Raw genomic sequence first — 10485 nt, forward strand, 5'->3', positions numbered from 1 at the left:
CAATTAACTGGGTGTGGTGGTGTGCACCTGTAGTCCCAGCTAGTCAAGAGGCTGAGACAAGAGGATCTCTTGAGCCCAGGAGCTCAAGGCTGTAGTGAGCCAAGATCGTGCCACTGCACACAAACAATTATGTGACCTCGGGCAAGTTGCTTTACCTCTTTACACCTCTTAATTTCCTTATCTGTAAAATGAGGATGATAATTTCTTCCTGGGTCTGTTGTAATAATTAATACATCAAAGCACTTCATGTCTGGAACAGTGAAGATACCCTGCTATGACTATTAAGGATAGTATACATGGAATAAGACACAGGAACTTCTAAATGCTTTTGACCATAGATTTAGGTTCTGAGTTTTAAGAATTTAACTCAGGAAATTGTAACACCAAAAATGTCATGTGAAAAATGGTGGTGACAAATTTTCTTGAATCATTAGCCTTAGAGGTTGGGCAGAAAGCAAAAAATTATTCTTGATGCTACTCTATAGAAAGAGAAGACAGAAAAAGAGAAAGATGTATTTTTAAAGTCTATATCCATAACTTTATTTGACCAAACTCTAATTTAAAAATTATGTTTCAGAATTCCAAAAACCAATATGCCTACCTTCCAAAGGTGACACAAGCACAATTTATACCAACTGTTGGGTAACCGGATGGGGCTTCTCGAAGGAGAAAGGTAAGCATGACGCTTTAAATATTGCTTCTAGAGTAAGTCTCACATGTTGAAATACATGGAGTGGGTCGTTTTAATCGGTTTCTGTCTGAAATTATATCTAAACTCTTTATCTTTCCTATCTATTTATTCCCAAATATTTATTCAGTTATTCTTAAAAAATGTATTTTTGCTTTGGCTTGAAAAAAAATTTTAGGGAGACTTTTAAGCATCTTACTTCATTATAAAGATCAGTTGCTTGACTTTGCATGAAGCAGATTGGGCCCTTCTAGGGCTGACAAGCCCGTGCAAGACCACCCGCTCCTCAGTGTTAGTAGCGTTCCCGTCTCCCAAAACCATGTTCTCCCTTGATGCTAATGGCCGGGAGCACAGGCAGGTGTGTCGTCTCACTATGGAGAATAATATTTGTGTCATTCTTTACAGAAGAAGGTAGCTTGCCAAACTGTCTCCATCTTTCCCGATTCAGTCTTTTGTTCAAGTAATTCACATTTTTAGATTTTTTATTGGTAATCTGAGACAAGAAGAAATTTAAAGTAATCTTCACTAAGCCATGAAAGCTCCCAACATTGTTCTCCATGAGAGATGCTGGCCTGCATTTATTCAAAAACAAAAGACCCCTCTGTTGCCAAAGCTCGGAGGGCTTTTCAGAAACGATATAGTTGTAAATTATAATTTTGAATATATAAAGCAAAAAAATGAAAAGTGAGAACTTCCAGGCTTTGGATTGTTGTAGGTGATAAATATAAAATGGGATTTCTGGGGGGCTGCTACTGAGATGAGGGGATGGCAGAAAACATGGAAGCAAGGTCTCTGGTCAGCCCAGGGTGCTGGGCTTGTCCCAACACCACGTAGGCAATAAGAGGACAGTACAGGGTGCCGTCTCTCTCCCTCTTCCTCTCTCTGTCTCTCTCTCTCTGTGTGTGTGTGTGTGTGTGTGTGTAACACTACCTTCCCAATTTTTACTGTCTATTTGTATTCAAAGATAAGGTCCTTATGAAAAATACACTGCTCTGATTCACTTTAAAACTTATTTCCATATTTATTATTTATTGTGGGAATAATAATATTCCCAATATTATTATTTATTATTTAAGTTATTATTATTAACTTCCCTCTGAGGTTATATATTGGTTACTCACAGGTGAAATCCAAAATATTCTACAAAAGGTAAATATTCCTTTGGTAACAAATGAAGAATGCCAGAAAAGATATCAAGATTATAAAATAACCCAACGGATGGTCTGTGCTGGCTATAAAGAAGGGGGAAAAGATGCTTGTAAGGTAACTCATGAGATTATGAAAAACACAATAGGCTGCTTGAGAAAATTCATTTCAAAATATATTTTCCAATAGCATAATTCAATCATAGTTTTTAAAAAAATTCAGAGACAAATGATCTGATAAATTGATAAGCAACTTTTAACAAATTGAATATACATAATATATATTTATATTATTTATGATATATGTCACAATCTATGCATGTGCTATTTAAGAGGGGCAAATATACATGCAATAATTGTGCTAGAATATAAAAACATTAGACTTCATCATTGGGATGATGATATCAAGATTTCTTTGTTAGATTTATTTCAGATAGAAAAGGGGATACGAAAAATGCAGGCACATGAGATACTTGGAGAACTTTAAGAAAGAGTGAGTGTGTGTGTGTGTGTGTGTGTGTGTGTGTGTGTGTCTGGCAAGCAAGGTCTTGCACACACACAGCACTTTGGGAGGCCAATGCAGGTGGATCACTTGAGCCTAGGAATTTGAGACCAGTCTGGGCAATGTGATGAAACCCATCTCTACAAAAAAATATGAAAGTATCTGTGTGTGTGTGTTGCTGTGTAGTGGACTACAGAACTTTAGAGGCAGTCACTTATTTGAATCCCATTGTCGTAACTTTCTACTATTTTATTTTTCCACTGTGACTCAGGGAGATTCAGGTGGTCCCTTAGTTTGCAAACACAATGGAATGTGGCGTTTGGTGGGCATCACCAGCTGGGGTGAAGGCTGTGCCCGCAGGGAGCAACCTGGTGTCTACACCAAAGTCGCTGAGTACATGGACTGGATTTTAGAGAAAACACAGAGCAGTGATGGAAAAGCTCAGATGCAGTCACCAGCATGAGAAGCAGTCCAGAGTCTAGGCAATTTTTACAACCTGAGTTCAAGTCAAATTCTGAGCCTGGGGGGTCCTCATCTGCAAAGCATGGAGAGTGGCATCTTCTTTGCATCCTAAGGACGAAAAACACAGTGCACTCAGAGCTGCTGAGGACAATGTCTGGCTGAAGCCCGCTTTCAGCACGCCGTAACCAGGGGCTGACAATGCGAGGTCGCAACTGAGATCTCCATGACTGTGTGTTGTGAAATAAAATGGTGAAAGATCACGATTAGCAAGTGTTTTCTTCTGGTTGTGAAACAGAACTGAAAGTAAGTGGTTGAGGTTCCAGCACAGTTCCTGGGATCCCTCTAATTGCACTGCTTCCTCTGGAACTCAGTATATCTCAAAGATGTAATTTCCTCTCCGTGCTGCACCTGGTCGGCCACTGAAACCCACTATTGCCTGCTTCACGTGTGGCAAAGAGCTAGCGGGCTTGGGTTTTGTTCTGCCGAGAGGAAGGGAGAACACCCACTTTTATAAGAAAGAGATGGGTTACCTGAACCCATGGGCACCTTTGCCTCTTGGCCTCCTAACTTTGCTACCAGGGCATGGCTAGGAGGGTCCAGGCTGCGCGTGCTGAGGAGCTCGAGGGGCTGCAGCATTGCACAGCCTTCATGGCAGGCAAGGAATCTGCTTTGCAAGGGGCATTAGCCCTGGAGGCTCAGTGGATATGGGCTATTGCAATAGTAATTCAAGGAGCATTTTTAGGCCTGGCGTGGTGGCTCACGCCTGTAATTCCAACAGTTTAGGAGATCAAGGCAGGTGGATCACTTGAGCATAGGAGTTCGAGACTAGCCTGGCCAATGTGACGAAACCCCATCTCCACAAAAATTAGCTGGGCATGGTGGTGCGCACCTGTAATCCCAGCTCCCCCAGAAGCTGAGGCAGGAGGACCGCTTGAGCCCGGGGATGTCGTGGCTGCAGTGAGCTGAGATGGCACCACTGCATCACTGCATTCCAGCCTGGGCAACAGAGTGAGACTGTCTCAAAAAAAGGAAGCATTGTTAGGTATAAATTATTATTATTATTATTATTAGTAGTAGTAGTAGTAGTAGTAGTACTGAGACGGAGTCTTGCTCTGTTGCCCAGGCTGGAGTGCAGTGGTGCAATCTTGGCTCACTGCAATCTCTGCCTCCCGGGTTCACGCCATTCTCCTGCCTCAGCCTCCGGAGTAGCTGGGACTACAGGCACCCGCCACTGTGCTTGGCTAATTTTTTGTATTTTTAGTAGAGACGGGTTTCACCATGTTAGCCAGAATGGTCTCGATCTGCTGACCTTGTGATCCACCCGCCTCGGCCTCCCAAAGTGCTGGGATTACAGGCTTGAGCCACCACACCCAGCCCTGTTAGGTATAAATTATTTCATAAAATTCAGACTTGTAAATTTATGGTAGCCTTTGGAATGGGTGATAGATGTCCTATGCCACACAAATTCCTCACATGCCGAGGCTCACCGTAACTGATACCAGCTCGCTTGATTCAGTTCAGTTAAACTGAACAACATTTACACAGAATTGGCGATTTACAAAATCTTATGTAAGTTAAGTAGAAAAACAGAAAAAAGTTTTCTGAAAGAGTTTGGGTTTTTCCTTCAATGCTCAAGACAGAGGTCCCCAACCTTTTTGGCACCAGGGACCAGTTTTGTGGAAGACAGTTTTTCCATGGACCAGCATGGTGGTGGGGGATGATTCTGGAATGATTCAAGTGCATGACATTTATTATGCACTTTATTTCTATTATTACTACATTGTAATATATAATGAAATAATTATGCAACTCACCATAATGTAGAATCAGTGGGAGCTCTGAGCTTGTTTTCCTGCAACTAGACAGTCCCATCTGAGGGTGATGGGAGACAGTGACAGATCATCAGGCATTAGATTCTCATAAGGAGCCTAGATCCCTCACATGTGCAGTTCATAACAGGGTTTGAGCTCCTATGAGAGTCTCATGCTGCTGCGGATCTGGCAGGAGGCAGAGCTCAGGCGGTTATGCTTGCTGGCCTGCCACTCACCTCCTGCTGTGCGGCCTGGCTGCTAACAGGCCATGGACCAGGTACTGTTCTGGGCCCCGGGGGTTGGGAACCCCTGCTCAGAGACACACCGGGTGGTAGGAGGAGCTAAAGGTGGAGAGGGTGAAGGAAAATATGAGGTCTGGGCTATCCACAAACCAGATAGCAGGAAACTGAAGAGTTAAACATTTACTTCAGAATTGAATGGCTTTTGTAAAATCTGGCTAGATTCCATGAAACGATTTTAAAAATGCACTATTTAAATTTTGCCTTTGCATGCGATGAAGACATTAGTCTTTGTTCATGTGGATGTTTTTTTATGTTTAAAAGGGAAAAAATGGTTTGCAATGAAACTTTTATCTCAGTCTTTGAGTATTGATCATGGGGTGTTGGAACAGGACTTTGGAATGCTTGCAGGGTAAACCTTTGGCCTCTGTTAGTCAGGGAATGACCTAGTTTGGCAAAACAGAGGAGAGTTTTGAAATATGGAACTTTCCCGAGGCATACATTGTCATTTTAAAGTGGTCAATCAAAGCCCAGTAGGACTGGGCTGGTGTCTTGGTGACTCACTGTGTGCTCATATACAGGGGTAACTGAGGAGCCCTTCACACAGGTCTAGCCTCGTGGGACTAAAAAGTGTGACATGGGCTAGGAAAATGCGAGGCTGGGATGCCTTCACTCCCATGAGGAAGCGTGACGGGAGGAGGCGTGGGCCACTGGCAGTTCTACTTCACAAAGGCTGCTGGCAGTGTCAATCCTGCAAGCTGGCCTTGCCCTCCTGTGGCGGCAGTGTACACGTGGCATGCAAGCACATGCACAAGCCACCTGGCTCCAAGGTCAGCCAAGGGCTCCAACATCTGTCTCAGTCCCTGCCAAGGCATGGGAACCCCCCACGTAAACTTGGAACTTTTCCTTTCAATTGTTGCTTATGTCTGTCACTTTACTTGACTGTGAGCAGCTTCTAGGGAGGCTCTCTCATTCATAGTGCATATCATGGGCATCCAGTAAACGGCTAATGATGATGATACACCTTTATTACAAAAATAAAGGCAATGGAGACTGAAGAGGTGAAATGATTAGCTCAAGGTCACTGGCAAGGACAGAGCTGGAACAAAGCTCAGCATTCCTATGCCAGGCAATGTCCTCTCACTGATATCCGGTTGCTTCTCACTAGGAGAAGGATGAAAGATGACAGAGCATTTATAACCACCATTTGTTATTTTCATTATCAACTGACACTGGTGTTTCTCTGCCCGGAGCGATTTTGTCCTCCCTTCACCTCAGGAAACATTCGGCAACGTCTAGAGACACTTTTGGTTGTCCTAATGGGAGAGGGTATGCAACTGGCTGTAGTGGGTAGAGGCCAGGGATGCAGCTAAACATCCTGCAGTGTGTGGGACAGCCCCTCGCAAGAGAGAGTTATCCTGCCCCAATATCAATAATGCCAGGGTTGGGAAAGCCTGATCTCATGTCAGCATTAAAACCTTGTAATGAAAAGAGGACATTTCGGCCGGGCGCGGTGGCTCACGCCTGGAATCCCAGCACTTTGGGAGGCTGAGGTGGGCGGATCGCGAGATCAGGAGATCGAGACTATCCTGGCTAACACGGTGAAACCCCGTCTCTACTTAAAATACAAAAAAAAAAAATTAGCCGGGCGTGGTGGCAGGCACCTGCAGTCCCAGCTACTCGGGAGGTTGAGGCAGGAGAATGGCGTGAACCCGGGAGGTGGAGCTTGCAGTGAGCCGAGATCACACCACTGCACTCCAGCCTGGGCGACAGAGCGAGACTCCGTCTCAAAAAAAAAAAAAAAAAAAAAGAAAAAGAAAAACAAAAGAGGACATTTCAGGAACAGCAAGAAAGGGGTTGTAGGACATGGCGGGCTGTGCCCTTTCTCTTCCTTTATTTTTTACTTTTTGATACATTCTATTTGTACATATTTGTGGGGCACATGTGAAATTGTGTTATGTGCATAGAATGTGTAATGATCAAGTCAGGATGTTGGCATACCCATCACCCAACCATTTCTATGTGTTGAGTACATTTCAAGTCCTTTTCTAGCTATTTAGAAAACTATAATACCTTGTTGTTGACTGCAGTCACCCTACTCTTCTGTCAAACATTAGAAAGCATTCCTTCTATCTAACTCTGTGGTTGTACCCCTTCACCAACCTCTCTTCGTCCTCACCACCACCCCCCCACACACACCCTTCCCAGCCTCTCGTAACCACCATATACTCTCTACGGCCATGAAATCATCTTTCGTGGGATCATGCAATGTTTGTCTTTCTGTGCTTGGCTTACTTTACTTAACATAATGACCTCCAGTTCCATCCACATTGCTGCAAATGGAATGATTTCCTTCTTTTTTATTGTGTCCATTTTCAAAGCAAGTTCTGAAAGACAAGAGAAGGAGCTCTGAGAGTTGATTATGGCCATGCCTGAGAAGGGGTCTCAGTCAACTAATGCCGTTGTGGACATTCCTGTCCCAAGCAGAAGGCTTTAGGTCACAATATGTCCAAATGTCCAATACATCTCCCACCTATGATCCATTGGAAAGAAAACAAACCTCGGGACCCCCAAAATCACTAAGCCACATGGAAAAGTAAAGCTGGGAACTGCATTGGGCAAACCTTCCTCCCATTCTATTCCTAAATAAAATAGCTTTCTTAAGCTATAAAAAACCTTTTTTAAGCTTTAAAAAGGTTTTAAAAAGCTACATTCCTCACAATTTGCCCATGAGGAAATTCCTTGTGGAAAAAGGACAGGCAGAAGTCAGAGTCACCCCTCTGCTGACATGAGACAGGTGCGTATCTGATTGCCTCGTTTGCCATATTGTTTCACTGGGCCACACTAAGGCATGAGTGACTATTCTTGTAAATTGCGTATTTGGTGAAAGGCTAATTGGAAACTCGAAAAAATGCTTCTGTTTGTCTCTTATCTACCTATGACCTGGAAGCCCCCTTCCCTTCTTCGAGTTGTCCCACCTTTTAGGACCAAACCAATGTACATCTTGCATAGATTGATTGATGTCTTATATCTCCCTAAAATGTACAAAATCAGCTTGGGCCCTGACCACCTTGGACACATGTCATCAGGACCTCATGAGGCTGTGTCATAGGTACATCCTTATCCTTGGCAAAATAAACTTTCTAAATTGATTGGGACCTGTCTCAGATACTTTTTGATTTAGAATCCTAACTTCTGACTTGTACTTGGGTCTCTGCAGACTAACTTCTATATTCTTCCTAAGACTTTGTCTAGTTATTCCTCATTTTCATCAGTCTTCGAATATTCAAAAACATTTCATTTCATTGAAAAAAAATTGAAAAAAGTAGTTGATATCAGAATTTTAAACTGCAATGCATTAGTTGAAAATAATTTTTTAAGGATATCTATGGTCAGTTTAAAAGAAAGGTCTATTTAATCTCAAAGAGTTTCTATGTAGTCAAGACTTTTATTCTAGGCTGGGCACGGTGGCTCATGCCTGTAATTCCAGCACTTGGGAGGCCAAGGCAGGTGGATCGCTTGTGCCCAGGCATTCCAGACCAGCTTGGGGAACACAGCAAAACCCTGTCTCTACAAAAAATACAACAATTAGCCATGCGGAGTGACATGCGGCTGTATTCCTAGCTATTCAGGAGGCTGAGGTGGGAGGATCACCTGGTGGCTGCGTTGAGTGGAGATCACACCACTGTACTCTCGTCTGGGCGACAGGAGTGAGACCTTGTCTGAAAAAAAATTATTCTACTTTTATTTGAATAGACAAAATTTTTTTGAATCCTGATACTATTTCAAAGACCTTAAAGATTTCACTAACTAGCTAAATCAAACTTAGGAAAATATTATTTGGTTTTCCAGTGAAGCATTTCTCTTATTTAGAGCCTTTCTGTTTCTCTCAATAGGGTTGGAGAGTTATCCTTATCTTCTTTTTATTGGGGCTTAAGAAGAGAGATGAGGTTCCATGGAGTAAACAATACAAGGATATAAGGACCTCATATAATCTCACGTATCCATTTTCCATGAAAGCCATTCTTGGCACGAATTTGCCATTCTATGTTTGAGCCTCATAAAAGGCAATGCATCATAAATATGCACTTTTTGGGTAGCTGGAATGTACTTTAAACGGGAAACTCAAGAAAACAGCTAGGAACTCTTTATGCCAGGATAAGTCAAATGCACTGGCAATAGATCAAATAAAAATATCTGAGTAAATGCCTTCCAGATAGAACATCACCCTAGTTCTTCAGCACTTTACAAAAAGATCTGTTCTCAGTTCACATTCTCTTAATTCCCTGTCATTTCTCCCCGGTCTTCCAAATATGTTTTTTAAATTATGATTCCATGTATAAACACAAGATCGTATTTTGCTTTTCTATGAAAAATTGAGAGCCTTCTCTGAACCATAAACGTATCTTTCTCCAAAATGTATTCAAATCAGGCATATTGAAAACTGTTTTGTGTTCGTGTTGTGAGGTTTTTTAGGGGACCGCACAGAAACCCTCAGCACTAGTTAGTGCCTTGTGTTCTAAATGAGGAAACGGAAGCCAAGGACCTGCAGGTGGCTGGGGACTGTGCACAGGCTGGTTCCGCTCAAGTCACATGACTCGTCAGCCAGTGAGTAGGTCTGGGTAGCAGTTGGCATGGATGAACATGCCCTCCATAGGCTTTCAGACCTTCTTCAAGGCCAAAGGGAAGGCCTTCATGGAAATATAATTATGTGAAACACCCCAGAATTTTTTCACAAACTTTCCTGCCTATAAACGCCAGGTCCTACCACTGTCCAGTGTCCCACTTCCCACTGTCCAGTGGGAAGACTCCCTCCAGGACAAAACCACCCTTTCCTTCAGGGATGTGACGTGCTGTGCTTTCGTTGACAGTCATGCAGCTGCTAGACATGTCACTTCCTAGCTCTCCATTCGGGTCTGTGTCCCAGGACCTAAAGAAAGCTAAAAGAAGCCGGGCGTGGTGGCTCATGCCTGTCATCCCAGCATTTTGGGAGGCTGAGGCTGGCGGATCACTGGAGATCAGGAGTTTGAGACCAGTCTGACCAGCATGGTGAAACCCTGTCTCTACTAAAAATACAAAAAAAGAAAAGAAAAAAGAAAAAAAAATAAGCTGGGCGTGGTGGCGCGGGCCTGTAGTCCCAGCTACTCCGGAGGCGGAGGCAGGACAATCACTTGAACCTGGAAGGCGGAGGTTGCAGTGAGCTGAGATCGCGTCATTGCACTCCAGCCTGTGCGACGAGAGACTCTGTCTCAAAAGAAAGAAAGAAAGAGAGAAAGAAAGAAAGAAAGAAAAGAAAGAAAGAAAGAAGAAAGAAAGAAAAGAAAGAAAGTAAGAAGCAAGCAAGCTGAAATAGCTTATTTTTCTGTTTTAAAAAATAGACTTTTAGTGTTCACAAGTAAGAATAAAAAAAAAAAAAGCTTGGCCTTAGGAGGAATCCTATCTGCTTAGGCCTCTGAGAGGCAGCGTCACCTGAAGGGAAACTGACTGGGCAAGAGCCAGGCTCTTAGGAGCTGTCTGTACTTTGCTTCCCATCCGTCCGCTCTCCCCCAGCAGCCAAAGTCTCCTCCCTCCATTATATTGCAAATCAATGAATCCATTAGACTTTCCATGTTTTCTTTTTAGACTTTGAGATTCAAGG

At 43.1% G+C, this 10485-nt stretch overlaps 1 protein-coding gene across 9 annotated transcripts in view, besides 1 other annotated feature; it reads left to right on the plus strand.

The window, feature by feature from the left end:
- KLKB1 (kallikrein B1) overlaps window positions 1-3057 on the plus strand; it is a 47619-nt gene extending 44562 nt beyond the window's left edge. For 6 of the 9 annotated variants that reach the window (XM_047415661.1, XM_017008181.2, XM_011531930.3 and 3 more), the window contains 3 exons: window positions 578-673; window positions 1812-1951; window positions 2607-3057. In XM_047415661.1, the coding sequence (XP_047271617.1) occupies window positions 578-673; window positions 1812-1951; window positions 2607-2798 (428 nt within the window). In that variant the 3' untranslated portion in view covers window positions 2799-3057. The remainder of the gene's footprint in view (window positions 1-577; window positions 674-1811; window positions 1952-2606) is intronic. The other 3 variants (XM_017008182.2, NM_001440521.1, NM_001318394.2) reach the window with 1 other exon arrangement.
- Window positions 9134-9905: an enhancer, noted in NCBI's record as "H3K27ac-H3K4me1 hESC enhancer chr4:187185702-187186473 (GRCh37/hg19 assembly coordinates)". NCBI's record gives its function as "activates a minimal SCP1, AML or CMV promoter by ChIP-STARR-seq in primed H9 embryonic stem cells {active_cell/tissue: H9 hESC(primed)}" and the evidence as "EXISTENCE:reporter gene assay evidence [ECO:0000049][PMID:30033119]".

The sequence above is a fragment of the Homo sapiens genome, chromosome 4 (genome assembly GCF_000001405.40).
Source record: "Homo sapiens chromosome 4, GRCh38.p14 Primary Assembly".
Classification (NCBI taxonomy): domain Eukaryota; kingdom Metazoa; phylum Chordata; class Mammalia; order Primates; family Hominidae; genus Homo; species Homo sapiens.